Genomic DNA, 17,048 nt, shown 5'->3' with positions numbered 1-17,048 from the left:
ACTTTTCAATAGCAAACCACTAGTAAGCGTTAGAAGGATGAATGCATGAACAACCAAGTAGGGGTCTGGTAAATTAATGAGTCGGTGAACTGGGGTATCTTGTTAGGTGCTTCTGTTTCTTAGCCTGATCTAAGAGGATGCTCTCCATCTGTTCCAGGGCATTGTTCACCAATTGCTACCTCAGCCTTTATAAAACCTTCAGCTAAGTGCAGTCTATCTTCACGTAACATCCTGGATAAGTTCTTGAAAACTGTGACTTTAATAAAAACCAATACAAAACTAAATAAAACAAAGTTTACTGTGGGCTAATTGATAGAAACAAGAATTATGTTCCATAGCGTATTTCTGGTCACAAAAACATCACCGAACTTCTAAATAAAGACCAAAACACCTTTAATGTTAAACATTGAAATAAATGTGAATGATACATACATTTAGGAAAGATTAATACAAACAATTAAGATAATTATTTACCCATATATTCCAATTCAGTGCATCCAGTGGCTGGAGCCTGTCCTGGCAGCTCAGGGTGCCCAGTGGGAACCCATGCTGGACAGGATGCCTCCCATCGCAGAACACACTCACACCCACACTCACACTCACTCACACTGGACCATGTCAGCACATCAGTGCACCTACTGTGCACACCTTTGGGATATGTGAGGAAACCGGAGAACTCAGAGGAAAACCCACACAGATATGAGGACAATGTACAAACTCCACACCGACAGTGGGGTCCTGGCCAGGAATCCATTTTGTTTTCCCATCAATGTTATACTGAAACAACATTGAATGAAGCAACGTTATTTGAGGACCTGCTGTATACAATGATCTATGGGTCATTAATGGTAGCTGTTACTATTGCAATGTTATAAAGGCCATGCACATGAGTCCTTAAGATCTCCCACAGTTTGAACCAGTCATCCCTACTAAACATAAAATGGATGCAGTTCATGGAACCTTGGTCACAGAAACAGAAAGTTAGATTTGCTTCTCAACTGGATTTTGCCTGAATAACCCAGAAAATCAGCAGTCTCCCCTGAAAACCAAAATATCCCTAAGTCTTCAGATACCTTATCATTGGGGTTTCTCCACAGGGCTTTGGCTTTCCACAGGGGTTTTTAGGTTTTTGTACCTTGGGCTGTTGTTAAAGGCAACTGGACCTGACGTCATCTTTTCATACTGTATTTTCATCCTGGGCATTAGTTGCGCACTGGAAAAGGAAGGCCAGTTATGGAGCAATGTTCAGCCTTGCTGCAGGAACACAGGGGGCTCTAGGTTGAGGCTAAAGACAGACTTTCCCATGTGATGTATGCATGGAATCAAGTGCTAGTTTTTCTCAGAAGCAAATCCAAGCCTGCTGTACAAGGCCTTGGGCAAACCACACCTCACACATCCTGGGGCAAGGTGGAAACAACTGCAGTCCTAGGTCTGAAGGCACAAAAAACAGCAGATTGAGGCATACGGAATTTCCAACATTGTATTTTTTATGACAAAAATGACAATTTTGTACTTCTTAAATAACCTCATTCTGGGATAAGATATTCATAATGCTGATAAGGTTCCTGAGTCCAAGATTCTTCTAGGTTTAGGGCAATTGAGGCATGGCCCCAGTTTTCTATACTGAGCCAGGGAAAGAAAGCCTCTCTTAGAAGTGCAACCATTTTCTAGAAATTTTCCCACCTCTGTCTTGCAGTTGCCAAATATCATAGCATGTTAGAATTGGAGGGAGTCTGGTGAAAATGTGCAGTGTCTGTCTTCAGAAAGCCAGGCCCTTCAAGAAGGCACTTGCCTGCTCTCTTGGGCTACACTGGCATGTGATCATTTGCCCTCCAATCTCAAGATGGATTGTTCATTGTTGACTTTATCATCTGGAGAATTGTACACATGACACATACTCCCTACATGGGTAAATAATAATAATCTGACTCCTTAGGTAAGAGCACTCAGGACTTCAGTCCTCAAAGCAAAATCCTAGAAGGGTATTTCTTTGCCTGTTTTGCTGAGCTCCTTAACTGAAAAGGCCCATTCTATGGGGGAAAAACACATTGATGATATAATTTTAAACAACAAAAAAGGGAGAGCAGAAACCTTATGTTCACTAGGATGACAAATATGCTGAGAAACATTGGAAGTTAATATGCAGAAATAGAAAAGGCTTTATGAAGATACTGGATTATTTTCTCTATTCAGAATTTCCTACCTGTTATGTCACTGTTCGAATTGGATTCTTTTCTCATGAAGAGGCATACACTGAGCTCACTCTAGCAGGGGCAGCATGTTGCCTGTTTTCTCATTTGGCATTAGGATTTCTGGGAAATGTCCATCATCACTGCAGTAGTGAATTCAGACAAGCTCAGAAGGAGCTCTGTGCCCTTGCTGGAGAACATGAGGGACTTTGAAAAGCATGTGATGGAAAGAAAATGTCTGTTGTAATGGCAAAGACACTGTGCTTGAGAGTCACTCAGGACTGAATTTCCATTTTTGTTCTGCCCCTTTGAGACCTTAGACAAGTTCCTCAAATTCCTTGATATTCAGTTTATACCCCTGTAAAATGCAGACAATAATGGGGCCCCTTAGATTGGCTTTTTGTGCCTGTAAAGTTCTTAATGAACCATCAATCCTGGAGAATTGTTAGCGAATGAAACTCATCCAGCAGTGTGCACACTGTCATTGATTGCATCTTTTCTTTTGTTTCCAACAGCTGGGACATTTTTCTGATGATCATTGCTGGCATGAAGCTGTTGCGGACATCATTCTGCAACCCGGTTTACCAGTTTATTAACTTGAGCTTCACTGTCATCTTTTTCCACTTTGACTACAAAGATATTTCAGAGAGCTTCTTACTGGATTTCTTCATGGTGTCCATTTTATTTAGCAAGGCAAGTGAATTAGCTATTTTCTTCATTTTAACATTTTAAAGGGGGCTGTTCTTATCAAATGTTTTAAGAGTTTAAAACTTATTCTTTATAAAAAAAATTATGGGAGGATATGAAATTGAATTATACATGTATGTTAAACTCTTGCTACCATTTGGGGAAAACTGCCCATGGAATGTAAGTATGCCATGTTATTTGCTAAAAATCACTAATTAAAATGAATTAGCCATTAGTGTGACTTGAAATTTTATTACCTTCTTCTCTGTTAACAATCTCATTGTAAGATTTCCCTAGATCTTAAAATGCTATGAATTAAAGATTAGCAACCAAGTTCACTGGTCTCTCCCTCCCTCCCTCCGTCTCTCCCTCCCTGTCTCCCTCCCTTCTTACCTTCCTTCCTGCCTTCCTGCCTCCCTCCCTGCCTGCCTTCCCGCCTCTCTGCCTTCCTGCTTTCCTTTTTTCTTCTGTTTTCTTTTCTTTTTCCTCTTGAGATAAATTTAAGGAACTGGTACCCAAGAGCAGGGTCTCTTGGAGTATTTCCAATACGCTTAGTTTGTCTGAAGTCAAGATTTCATCTGTTGAGCAACTTCATACATGGGCAATGAGAAATCCTACTTATAATTCAGGCAAATATATGGGGCTCGTATCTAATGTTTAATTAATGGGAGAGAAATAAAATCCTCTGGATACTTGGGAGTTCTCCATGACCATATCTAGCCTGATCACTGTAATGAAACCTACGTTTGTAAGCAGAAATAGAAAGAAATTTGGAACAACTCTTGGTAAATAAACTCAGTGATGATACAACCTCTTCCACGTGGTGTTCACACTCACACCGGCAGTTGAATACAGCAGCCACGGGGTTTCTTCTGGAGACTGACTTCAGCAACACCTTTCCCCTTTTAGTTAATAATTTTTTTAATTGTAAGTCTTTCTAAATTTTAAATTTTTAAAATTTTTTCACCTCTTAATCAGTTCTGTTCATCTTTATTTCTATTACTTACCTCTTCCTTCTACTGCCTTTCTCTTGGATTCTCTTAGGTAACAAAAATAAAAAACTCTTGTATCGTACTAAAGAGGCCTCATAAGTAATTCCCACCACCCCACCATTGCACGTGAATTTCTTTGTTTTTTATTTTAGAGAAAGAGTCTCACTCCTTCACAAACACAATGCCACTCACAGGCTGGAGTGCAGTGGCATAATTATTGCTCACTGCAGCCTCCAACTCCTGGGCTCAAGTGATCCTCCTGCCCCATCCTCCTGAGTAATTAGGACCACAGGCATGCACCACCACGCCTGGCTAATTGTTTTAAAAACTTTTTGTAAAGATAGGGTCTTGCTATGTTGCCTAAGCTTGTCTCCAACCCCTGGCCTCAAGTGATTCTCCTACCTTGGCCTCCCAAAGTGTTGGGATTACAAGCATGAGCCACTGCACCTGGCCCCAATTTCCTCTTATAACTCCAATTGGGCACTAATTTTCAGTGACCTACGTCCCTCTTGTGTCATCTTCCATTGGTTTCTCACCATTACTTCTGCAGCCTGCCCCAATTTCTGTATTTTATTGTAGACCCTGGCCTTGGTCAAACATTTATTTCCTGTTTGCTGAGTTCTGTTCTGTTCTGATTAACTTATCCCATTTTTCTACTGTTCAAATCACAGGCTTCCATAAGCTATTTTCCTTCATTAACTATCAATTTCTGTCATCTCACATAATAAATGTAACATTATATCCTATAATCTTTAAACTATTTGTGAAGTTACTAGAAATTACTTCACTGCTTGCAGGGATAAGAGTTTATCATCAGATGTAAAATGTGGCCTGGCACAGTGGCTCACGCCTGTAATCCTAGCACTTTGGGAGGCTGAGATGGGCAGATTGCTTGAGATCAGGATTTCGAGAGCAGGATGGGCAACATGGCGAAACCCAGTCTCTACAAAAAGTACAAAAATTAGCCAAGAGTAGTGGCATGCCCCTGTAGCCTCAGCTACTCAGGAGGCTGAGGCAGGGGAATTGCTCGAACCCAGGAGGTGGAGGTTGCAGTGAGCCGAGATTGCGCCACTGCACTCCAGCCTGGGTAACAGGAATGAAACCCTGTCTCAAAAAAAAAAAAAAAAAAAAAAAGATGTAAAATGTGCCAGAGGAGTTCAATCCTGACTCAGGCATTATTTACATTTTGACATGATGATGTTTATATTCCTTTCTGAGCCTCAGTTTCCTGTAAAATGGAAAATAATAATGGCAAGTCATTTAAGAGGATTTGTCAATATAACTGAAAAAAGTTAAGTAGAACATACTCTCCAATAGAAGGTCGTGTTTTTAAAGCTGTATGTAAGTAGAAAAAGGAAGTGACACACTGTGTTTGTGAAGGAATGTGGCCACTTTTCCACACTGAACTGTCAGTTTCATATCACCTTGTATTAGTGACTGGCCCCAGGTGAACAGAAGAGGAGTGAGGTTTCTTTCTGTAAGAGTCCTAGGCGTGGCTTCTAAATAATTCCATACCTGTAGTAAGAAGAGTGGCTTTCATTTATGGGAGCACAGGCCGCCTTTCCTCATCCTGACAGCATTCTGCACTGACAGCAGTCCACTGACAAAAATATGTGGCTCGAAGTGGGCATCTCACCAAAGGGGCTTTCAAGGGACAAAGAAAGGGAGTAAGCATGGCTGTCAGTCGTCCTTCTAGTCGGTGCAGACACTCAGCGACATCCTGTGTAGAATGGGGAGGATGGAACCTGACAAGGACGTGATCTAGGCTAGGTGCGGTGTCTCACGCCTGTAATCCCAGTACTTTGGGATGCCGAGGAGGGTAGATTACCTGAAGTCAGGAGGGTGGATTACCCGAGGTCAGGAGTTCGAGACCAGCCTGACCAACATGGTGAAACCTCATCTCTACTGAAAATACAAAAAAATTTAGCCGGGCGTGGTGGCGGGTGCCTGTAATCCCAGCTAGTCAGGAGGCTGATGCAGGAGAATCGCTTGAACCTGGGAGGAAGAGGTTGCAGTGAGCTGAAATCCCACCACTGCACTCCAGCCTGGGCAACAGAGTGAGACTCCATCTCAAAAAAAAAAAAGATCTAAAACGAAATCCACAAAAGCTTAGTTGTGCAGGCATTTGACTCACTTTGCCATCATCTTTTTGAAGCACCAATTAAAATATGAATAATTTCAGATAGAACCAGAGTGGCAGCTTTCTTATTTTCTCTAATTGAGGGAGCATTAGCACATATTATTTGAATAATCCACTCTTAGGCTGGGATAATGGCTAAGTGTCAAAAAAAAAGAAAAATTAGTGAGACAAAAGCAAGGAAAGTAGGCAGCAAGTCGGAAAGTTGGGGATTCTGAATCCTGGCCCATCTTGCCTCCCGCTAATGCTGGATCACTCTTTATCTTCAGAGAGCTGATGACAATGAGTTTTCTGGAATGAGAAGCAAGATCTTATTCTCTGATGAAAAAGAATATAGTGAAAGAAAGAGAGTGTTTGTGATTTTCCTGGAAAAAAGCCAGTGGATATTAGTGACAGAAGATGATTATATCAAGAAGTTCACAGTTAAGGTCCCCTGTAAAGATTCTGCCTGAAAGTCCTAATTGATAGCTCCTTTTCATTCTGCTCATTTTAATATTTTTTTTCAAAAAAAAAAGTCTCTTTGAATGTATTTCCTAGGGGCTTTCTAGAAGGCCCCATTGTTGTGCTTACAGGTAGTACGGCTCTCTGGGACAATTCCTTGCACAATGTGAAATGTTACTTGTCCACTAGACTCATGGAAGTCTTGCTCATGACAGGTCTTGTCCTCTGACCACTGCAGATGTCCCCCAGCCCTTCCCTCAGCCTTGCTCCTGTTTCACTAAATAGAGAATTATTGTTAGCCTGGCAGCCCCCCTCACAGAAGGGCTCTGAGGTTAATGAAGCAAGATTTGGATGGGCACTCAGTTTCCTCGGAAGAAAGGAGCTGCCCAAATATAGGACACAGTATTATTTTAAGTTGGTTGCCTCTAATCCTTTGGGCTTTATGGGTAGAAACAGAGGAGAGAAGTGATTAGTGAGAGAGTGAGATCAAAGCGCCAGGAGGCCAAGGAAGGAAACAGACAGCTTCCAGAGGGCCCAGGCCCTGCCCTCATGATATTCTCTACCTCCCTAAGCCCCCAAATCCCCCACTCCCCCTGAGGTCTGGAGGATGAATATTGCCTACTCTCTTAAGTCTGCCAGATCTGGAATAAAAAAAAAAGGGGGGGGTGCCGGGCACAGTGGCACACACCTGTAATCCCAGAACTTTGGGAGGCCGAGGCAAGCGGATCATGAGGTCAGGAGATTGAGACCATCCTGGCTAACATGGTGAAACCCCGTCTCTACTAAAAATACAAAAATTAGCCGGGCACAGTGGCGGGCACCTGTACTCCCAGCTACTCAGGAGGCTGAGGCAGGAGAATGGCGGGAACCCAGGAGGTGGAGCTTGCAGTGAGCCGAGATTGCGCCACTGCACTCCAGCCTGGGCAACAAGGCAAGACTCCATCACACACACACACACACACACACACACACACACACACACAAAAGTTGGGGGGCAGAAATATTGAGTTCCAAGGCTGGAACCCACCAGACAAATTAAGTGCAGCCGTGTATCGAGACGGTGGGTGAGACACTTCCTAGTGAATGGCAGCCTGGCTTTGCATGTGTGTGGATACGTGGGTGTGTTTGTGGGTGGGGGGGTTGAGGGGGTAGGAGTGTGTCCGGAATTGGTGGGTTCTTGGTCTCACTGATTTCAAGAATGAAGCTGCAGACCCTCATGGTGAGTGTTACAGTTCTTAAAGGCGGCGTGTCCAGAGTTTGTTCCTTCCGATGTTCGGATGTGTTCGGAGTTTCTTCCTTCTGGTGGGTTCGTGGTCTCGCTGGCTTCAGGAGTGAGGCTGCAGACCTTCATGGTGTTACAGCTCTTAAGGCAGCGTGTCTGGAGTTGTTCATTCCTGCAGGTGGGTTCGTGGTCTGGCTGGCCTCAGGAGTGAAGCTGCAGACCTTCGCAGTGAGTCTTATAGCTCATAAAGGCAGTGTGGACCCGAACAGTGAGCAGCAAAAAGGTTTATTGCAAAGAGTGAAAGAACAAAGCTCTCAGTACCCTGGCAGATTGCCACTGCTGGCTCTGGCAGCCTGCTTTTATTCTTTTATCTGGCCCCACCCACATCCTGCTGATTGGTCCATTTTACAGAGAGCTGATTGGTCTGGTTTATGGAGAGCTGATTGGTCCGTTTGACAGGGTGCTGATTGGTGTGTTTACAATCCCTTAGCTAGACAAAGTTTCTCCAAGTCCCCACCAGATCAGCTAGATACTGAGTGCCCATTGGTGCATCCACAAACTCCGAGCTAGACACAGGGTGCTGATTGGTGTGTTTACAATCCCTTAACTAGACATAAAGGTTCTCCAAGTCCCCACTAGACTCAGGAGCCTAGCTGGCTTCACCCAGTGGATCCCACACTGAGGCCGCAGGTGGAGCTGCCTGCCAGTCCCGCACTGTGAACCCACACTCTTCAGCCCTTGGGCGATTGGTTGATGACACCTGGTGCCGTGGAGCAAGGGGGCAGCGCTCTTCGGGGAGGCTTGGGCTGCCAGGAGCCCACCGCGGCGGGGCGGGGTGGGGGAAGCTTAGGCATGGCGGGCTGCAGGTCAGGAGCCCTGCCCCGTGGGGAGGCAGCTAAGGCCCGGCGAGAAATCGAGGGCAGCACCGGTGGGCTGGCACTGCTGGGGGACCCAGCGCACCCTCTGCAGCTGCTGGCCCGGGTGCTAAGCCCCTCACTGCCCGGGGCCGCTCTGAGTGCGGGGCCCGCCAAGCCCACGCCCATCCGGAACTCTAGCTGGCCCACAAGCGCCACGCACAGCCCAGGTTCCCGCCCACGCCTCTCCCTCCACACCTCCTGGCAAGCTGAGGGAGCCGGCTCTGGCTTCAACCACCCCAGAGAGGGGCCCCCACAGCGCAGTGGCGGGCTGAAGGGCTCCCCAAGCATGGCCAGAGCAGACGCCAAGGCCGAGGAGGCGCCAAGAGTGAGCGAGGGCTGCCAGCACACTGTCACCTCTCAGGAGGGCAGTGAGAAAGAACGGTCTCTGCATGTCCCTTCCTGAGACATGGGACCCTCCTACCACACATCCTTCTTCCTCGCTCCTTCATTTCCTCGATCCCTTCCCTCTCTTTATCTTGCTTCTTCAGTCATTCTTTTAAGAACTTTTGTTATTCATTGGTGACATTTCTGGTTGTCTGGGTCTTTAGGGTACAGTAAAACATGCAGATGAGGATATTTGGTTGCAAGGAATATTGACTGTTACAGGAGCAAAGATGACAAATACTCTTTCATGACCTCGCACTGGCCCTGAAAAAGTTCTTAAAAACCATAGTTGGCCGGGCACAGTGGCTCACGCCTGTAATCCCAGCACTTCGGGAGGCTGAGGTGAGTGGATTACCTGAGGTCAGGAGTTTGAGACCAGCCTGGTCAACATGGTGAAACCTCATCTCTACTGAAAATACAAGAATTAGTTGGGCGTGGTGCCACATGCCTGTAATCCCAGCTACTCCGGAGGCTGAGGCAGGAGAATTGCTTGCACCCCAGAGGCGGAGGTTACAATGAGCCAAGATAATCCCATTGCACTCCAGCCTGGGCGACAGAGCACGACTCTGTCTCAAAAAAAACCAAAACAAAACAAAAAAAAAACATTGTTTTTAAAATCATGGTAACTTTGGGTTGTCACAGGATGTAAAAGCAGAACTTGAGAAAATCCTGCCATAGGATCATTCTGCCAGCATTTCCAGAATACATTAGACATAAAATTCTACAGGCCATTAGTTCAACATGGGACATAACACTTTTGCCACTTAGGAGATGAAAATTAATGTATGAGGTTGTATTTATGATAAAGCTGTATGAATGATCGCACCAGAACCGTGATGTGTGGCTTTGTCATGGACTACCACGCTGGGTGTTCAAGTTATTTGAAATTGAAGTTTCTAAATGGCGTTTTCCTTATTTTGTGAGTACAGATAGAAAGTCTTGGATTAAAATTGAGCCACTTTTTAAAAAAATACATACTTATACAGAAGTACTTGTTCAAAATACTTTGTTCAAAAAAGCAATTGTTCATTCATTGAGCACTTACTGGGTGCCTGCCAGGCACTGGGCTAGGTATTATCCAAAGGTTATTAGTAATACAAATGATACCAAATGTTTGGTACTTTCTGTGGGCCAGGAACTGTTCTGAACACTTTGTGCATAATAACATATGTAATCTTCACAACAGCTTTGTGGGTGGATATGCCTCATTTTAAAGGTGAGAAAACTAGGCACAGAAATTAAGTGAATTGCCAGAAAGTCTCTTAGCTATACAATGGTAGGGCAGGATTCAAAGCCAGGCAGTCTGGCTGTGAGTCTGTATTTTGTGATACTGCCTTCCCTGCTTGGAGAGTTTGGAAAAAGAGGCAGACAAGTAAAGAGATAATTACAAGAAAGGATGATAAGGGAGGTGATAGTGGTAGAGTTTCAGGAGCACAAGTGCCCAGTCTAACCTGAGAGAACCAAATACAGTGCTCACCTTAAGCTTTCAGGAAGAATGAGTAAGTCAGGCAAAGAAGGCAGGGAGGAGTGAGTTACGCAGAGGAAGCTGCATGTGTAAAGGCACAGAAGCAAGAGAGGAGTTGGCACATTCCGGAAACCGTGAGAAATTTGGGAAGTGTGAAAACCTGGAAAGGGGAGTGGATGGTTGGGAAAGTGAGAGATGAACCTGGAGATGTCTATGAGATGGATCTCGAAGGACCCAGCGTGCCGTGCTACAGAGTTTGGACTTCATTCCTATATCAGCTGACGGCTGTTAAGCAGAGGAAAAACAGATCAGAATTGCATTTTGGAAATATCTCTTTGTGGAAGTGAGTAAACGATGAGAAGACATGGAGTCTTGGAACTGAATAGGAAATTATTGCAATCATCCAAGCAACTCATGAGGACTTGAACCGAGGTGGCAGAAGTGAGGGGAAGAAGGGAACAAATTCAGGAGGCGTTTGAGAGAGAATTGATTACGTTTAGTGATCAGATAGATACGGGGGAGAGTGCAGTGCAGGTGAAAGCCACCTCTGGGAGAGCTCTCAGCATACTTCAGTGACTAGATGAAAGGGGGTGTCATTAACTAGATTAGGGAATAATAAAGAAGAGAAAGACGTTTTTGGGAAAAGGATGTTAGCTTTGATGTATTAGATTGTGGAACGAGAGCCATAAAGGTCAAACATAAAAACCTTGAAAAAAGGATTTTTCTCATTTTATAATAATTTTTTAAATTTACTTAAGTAATACCTAAATATATTCTTATCATGATAAAATTAGAAAAGCAATGGAAAATACAAAAAAAGTCTGTTTTAATGCATATCTCTGTCTGCTTAACCCTAACCTCTTCCTATGGATAACTATTGTAAGTATTTTGGAATAAATCCTCCCAGTCCTCTGGTATATTTACACACACACACACACACACAAACACACACACACACCACACAAATTTAAAATATCAATAGGTTCATTCTGTACCTGCCTTTTACCTCCATTTTTGCTTAAAATATGTGTTAGAAGACTTTTCCATGACAGTGCATATCATGTTGCCTCTTCCTTTTGACCCCTGCAGAGAATGCTATAGCATATACCATAATTTGATGAGTTATTTCATTATTAACAGGCACCTAGTTTGTTTCCAAGCTTTTCTGTGGTACTTGGGACTTCTTGGGTCACAAACCACAGAAACCCAAATGAAACTGGCCTAATGACAAAAGATAATTTTTTTTTTTTTTAGACGGAGTCTTGCCCTGTCACCCAGGCTGGAGTGCAGTGGCGTGATCTCAGCTCACTGCAACCTCTGCCTTCCAACTTCCAGCGATTCTCCTGTCTCAGCCTCATGGGTAGCTGGGATTACAGGTGCACGCCACCACACCTGGCTAATTTTTGTATTTTTATTAGAGATGGGGTTTCACCATGTTGGTCAGGCTGGTCTTGAACTCCTGACCTCGGGTGATCTGCCTGCCTCGGCCTCCCAAAGTGCTGGGATTACAGACATGAGCCACTGCGCCCAGCTGACAAAAGAGAATTTAACAGTTTACGTAAGTTACTGAATGACCCAAAGGCATTAATGATGGCATTGAAGATCTGTTTTTATTTCTCCTTCTCCCCCATCTGTTGACTTCATAGTTAGACTGGCTGTCTCTACGTGGTGGTAATTGTGGTCACTAGCAGTTCTACATTTATAGCATTGTTTTAACTAATAATCCTCCCCCAAAAGAGAGAGTATCTTTCTTGATAGTTTCAGCCAAAGTCTTCGGGTGGGGGAGAAGTCTCATTGACGTTTTGTGTCACATGTTCATTCTTGAACCAGGTACAATGGCAGGAGGGATATGGGTTCCCTAGCTGATAAGTCCTGGACTGCCTGCCCACCCCTGGAATTTCAACCAAACCACCAGGACTAGAAGTCAGGGGAAGCAGATGGAAGTGGCTGGTGGCCACTGCATTGGACTACACAGAAGGTCATGTTTAACATACTGGTGCATGTGAGTGTTTTAGAAGCATAGACCGCCGGGATTGGACTTGCTGGGTCAAGAGGATGCTCTTGAAAGGATCTCAATAGAGAATCATTCCAAAACACTATTGCTACTAACAAGGATGACCAGCATTTAAGAAGCAGGTAGAGGAAGGAAGATGTAACAAAATATTGAGAAGTGACCCGTGAAACAAAATTAAGTACGGTATAATAGAAAGCAAGAAAGAAAACAGTTTTAAGAAAGAAGGAATAGTTCAGCAATGCCAGAGCCTTCAGAGATCAAAGCTCAACACTGAAACACTGAAATGCCACTACTAGATTTAGCAACAGAGAAGCCACTGGTGAGGTTGACACCATGGTGGTCCTGAAACAGAGTGAGTTCTTCAAGGTCAGGTACTCTGTTCTTCCTTCTTTGTATCCTCTGTGCTTTCTTTAGTGCCCTTAGTAGGGTGAGCTCTCAATACCTATTTGTAAATGACCAAGTATATTCATTGATCACAGATCAGTGTATTTAAATGTGGGTATTTGGGAGAATTCAGTGAGGCTGTCTTTCAGGGAAAACTCTACAATCACAACCACTTTAGGGCTGTTGATTCTTTATTGGTCCAGAAGAGGTGAATGGTGTTAAATATGATGTATTTATTACCTGTGAAGGATTTAGTCTACTGCCCTTGCAGGAATAAACATGCTAAATATGTGTGATGCAAAGACTAGCCTGCAATGTGCACTTAATGATGTAATGATGCCATCTCTACATTTAAAATGCAAGCGTTGACACTTTTAGTACAAGAATTGAGTCCTTAGGCATTCCCAACCAGGAAAACCATGAACAACAAATGTTATTTCCTCTGGTGCCATTAATCTTAGTGTGTTTCCCTCTGCTTCCTCCAAGTTTCTGGATGGTAACATCTGCATCCACCTGCTTCACAGGGTCAGTATGTGGACTGACTAATTCTCATTATCCTGAAATAAGGTGGTGGTCATAGCATCCCTACATTATCTTTTTGGTGAGATAGTTTTGACTCATGCTCCATTTTCAGTTTATTTTTAGCTCACTTTCCCTCACTGCGCTGAAGAATGGACTTGTCAGATTTATTGATCTTTTTCGTAATTCTGGAATTGTCAGTAAGGTCATTTCACAGTTTGCTGTCTGCTGGATAAGACTAACCCCCATAATAACATCAATTCATAAGGCCTAGTGTTCTTCATACCCTACGGCATCCCATCCGTAAGAAAGTACATCTGCTCTGATAAAACTTAAATTGTCTACAGCTTTCTATGGAAAATTTGTCTGGATTACATACCAGCCGCTTGGTTGTCATTTGAAAGTATAGATGATAAAGAAATAATGAGACAGAAAACGAGAATGAGAATGAGGAGAAGAAGGACCAGTGCAGTAGAAACTTTATATTCAACTAAATCTGGCAGGTGGTTGGTTGGTTAATTGAAAAAAATTAAGCAAGAAATAATAAATGATACCTCTATATACTTGTCTTTATTATAATAACTTAAAAACTTACACATTAACTTCCATTACCAGTATTCTGATGGAGGGCAAGGACTTCTCTTTGAGTGGGAATCTACAGAATGACTATATGGTCTTTTTCAGTGAACTATGCCCATGATACATTTTCTAGGGTGTTCAGTTTCCATTTCTGTTTTTTATTCTACTTGAATTGAGACAATGAAGGTTCCTTGTGAAACAGTCTGAAAGTAGTCCACATTTTCTTTCTTCCCAAATCTCTTCTCATTCATATCTAGGTCCACAACAATGTCTTTAGAGACTTGCCTTCATCAAGTCATTAACTTAAGCATTCCACTTGGTTGTGATAGACACAACTGTCTTTCATTTGCATTCGTATTACAAGAAGATTTTTTTTTTTTTTGAGACAGAGTCTTGCTCTTGTCGCCCAGGCTGGAGTGCAATGGCACAATCTTGGCTCACTGCAACATCCGCCTCCTGGGTTCAAGTGATTCTCCTGCCTCAGCCTCCCGAGTAGTTGGGATTACAGGCACCCACCACCATGCCTGGCTAATTTTTGTATTTTTTTAGTAGAGATGGGGTTTCACCATGTTGGCCAGGCTAGTCTTGAACTCCTGACCTCGTGATCCGCCCACCTCGGCCTCCCAAAGTGCTGGGATTACAGGTGTGAGCCACCGCGCCCGGCCAGATGTTTTTTAAAAGATGTATTTTGGAATAATTCTAGATTTACAGAAAAGACATGAAGATAGTATAGAGAATTCCCATATACCCCACACCCTATTTCCCTGTTACTTATATCTTATATTTGTATGGTACATTTGTCATAATTAATGAGCCCAAATAGTGTGTTACTATTAAAGTTCATACTTTATTCAGACATCCTGAGTTTGGTCTAACGTCCTTTCTCTGATGGAGGATCCCATTCAGAATACATTGAGTTATCCTGTTTCCTTAGGCTCCTCTTGGCTGTGATAGTTTCTGATGTTTTCCATGTTTGTGATGACTTGACAGTTTTGAGGAGTACTGATCAGGTATTTTATAGACTGTCCCTCAACTGGGATTTGTCTGATGCTTTCCTCGTATTTATATTAGGGTTATGTGTTTTGGGGAGGAAGACCATGTAGGTCAAGTATCATTCTCATCACATTATATCAAAGATTTATGGCCAGGCACAGTGGTGCATGCCTGTAATCCCAGCACTTTGGGAGGCTGAGGTGGGTGGATCACCTGAGGTCAGGAGTTCAAGACCGGTCTGACCAACATGGTGGAACCCCGTCTCTACTAAATACAAAAAATTAGCCAGGCATGGTGGCGGCCACCTGTAATCCCAGCTACTTGGGAGGCTGAGGCAGGAGGATTGCTTGAAGCCAGGAAGGAGAGGTTGCAGTGAGCCAAGATCATGCCATTGCACTCCAGCCTGGGCAACAAGAGTGAAACTACATCTCAAAAAAAAAAAAAGATATATAATATTAACATGAATCATCATATTACCATTAATGTTAAGCATGATTAACTGGCTTAAGTATCATAAGGTTTTTCCACTGCAATGTTACCCTTTTGTCCTCCTTTCCATCCTATATTCTTTGGAAGAAAGCCACTATGCACAGCCCACATTGAAGGAATGGGAAGTTATGTTTCACTTCCTTTGGGGGAAAGTATCAAAATTATTTGAATTCTTCTGCATGGGAGATTTGTCTCTTTATTCATTCATTCATATCAGTATGGGCTCAGATATTTATTTTATACTTAGGTTATAATCTATTATTTATTTATCTTGTTTCCTCGATTTTTTCAACTTTGGCTACTTGGAGCTCTCCAGTTGGCAGCTTCTGTGATATAATCCCATGTCTCTCTGTCTCTCTCTCTCTCTCTCCCTCTGTGTGTGTGTGTGTGTGTGTGTGTGTGTGTGTGTACTTTCTAACTTTCTGTCACTACAGGATGATCTAGGCTCATCCTCACATACTTCCTGAATCAGTCCTAGAATAAGCCATTTCTCCAGGAAACCCTGTTCTATTTTATTGGAAAACAGTTTGATCTGGGTACTAGATGTACTTATTGATACTGGGGTGTCATTGCATCTAGGCATTCTCAGCTGAAAGAGCAAGGAAATATATGTGTGTATATCATCTGTATATACACATATCTAGAAATATGTCTGTATGTCTGTAACTACCTGTATCGGCATTAAACTAAACTTGAGTTCAAATTAATGTTTTCAAATCTAATCTATTACTACATGGATCATTCTAGCCTTTTCCCCTTGTTTGCTGTAACTTTCCATTCCAATAGTGAGAAACTTAGCTTCTACCATCTGTCATCCATTTAGTTAACTGTTCAATTCCAATTCGCATGTACAGTCACCCGTTAGTATCTGTGGGGGACTGGTTCTAGAACCTTCTACTCCATAGAATTGCCTTTCTTTTATGCCCTTAACAACAACTAGTTGACCATATTTGTATGGGTCTTTTTCTTGAGCTGTTTTGTTCAATTAATATATGTGTCTATTTTGCTAATACCATGTTGTCTTGATAACTATCATTTTATAGTGAGCTTTGAAATAGTGTGATTTTTCCAACTTTGTTTTCTTCTTCAGTATTGTGTTGGCTATTTCATTTTTGTTTACTGTTGTTGTTTTGCCTTTCATACAAATTTCAGAATCAGTTCTCTAGATCTGCAAAATATCTTGTTAGGATTTTGAATGGGTTTATGCTGGATCTGTAGATCAAGTTGTAAAGAATCAACATTTTAACAATATTCGATCTTCCGGTCTATGAACATGAAATATTATTCCATTTATTTAGATAGTCTTTGGTTTCTTTCATCAGATTTCTATAGGTTTTTGCATATAGATACTGTACATATTTTATTATATTGATACACACATATTTTGTCTTATTTGGTGCTATCGTGGAGGGTGTATTTTTTTTTTTTAATTTTAAACTCCAATTGTTCCTTGCTGGCATATGAGAAAGCAATTGACTTTTGTTTATTGACTTCATATAGGGCAGCCTTGCTATGCTGACTTATTAGTTCCTGGACTGTTTGTTCTGAATCTTTATGTTTAGAGTAGTTTCTTTGTATCAAACTTATAGTTAGTAGTTGGTTCTTTTTTAAAAAAAATTGTTTTTGTTGTTGTTTC

The 17,048-nt window shown here is 42.6% G+C and overlaps 1 protein-coding gene across 8 annotated transcripts in view, besides 2 other annotated features; it reads left to right on the top strand.

Annotated features, from left to right (window-relative positions):
• The window catches only part of PCNX2 (pecanex 2), a 343,895-nt gene that overhangs the window by 189,435 nt on the left and 137,412 nt on the right, over positions 1-17,048 (top strand). For all 8 annotated transcript variants that reach the window (XR_001737430.2, XM_047430870.1, NM_014801.4 and 5 more), the window contains one exon: positions 2,705-2,882. Coding sequence is in view for 7 of the 8 variants with exons in the window: in XM_047430870.1 (XP_047286826.1) it covers positions 2,705-2,882 (178 nt within the window). In the remaining variant the exon portion in view is untranslated. The remainder of the gene's footprint in view (positions 1-2,704; positions 2,883-17,048) is intronic.
• Positions 8,312-8,822: an enhancer, noted in NCBI's record as "H3K27ac-H3K4me1 hESC enhancer chr1:233264819-233265329 (GRCh37/hg19 assembly coordinates)". NCBI's record gives its function as "activates a minimal SCP1, AML or CMV promoter by ChIP-STARR-seq in naive H9 embryonic stem cells {active_cell/tissue: H9 hESC(naive)}" and the evidence as "EXISTENCE:reporter gene assay evidence [ECO:0000049][PMID:30033119]".
• Positions 8,823-9,335: an enhancer, noted in NCBI's record as "H3K27ac-H3K4me1 hESC enhancer chr1:233264306-233264818 (GRCh37/hg19 assembly coordinates)". NCBI's record gives its function as "activates a minimal SCP1, AML or CMV promoter by ChIP-STARR-seq in naive H9 embryonic stem cells {active_cell/tissue: H9 hESC(naive)}" and the evidence as "EXISTENCE:reporter gene assay evidence [ECO:0000049][PMID:30033119]".

The sequence above is a fragment of the Homo sapiens genome, chromosome 1 (genome assembly GCF_000001405.40).
Source record: "Homo sapiens chromosome 1, GRCh38.p14 Primary Assembly".
Classification (NCBI taxonomy): domain Eukaryota; kingdom Metazoa; phylum Chordata; class Mammalia; order Primates; family Hominidae; genus Homo; species Homo sapiens.
Note: the sequence above shows the minus strand (reverse complement) of the source record. Positions and strands in the feature narration are given on the sequence as shown.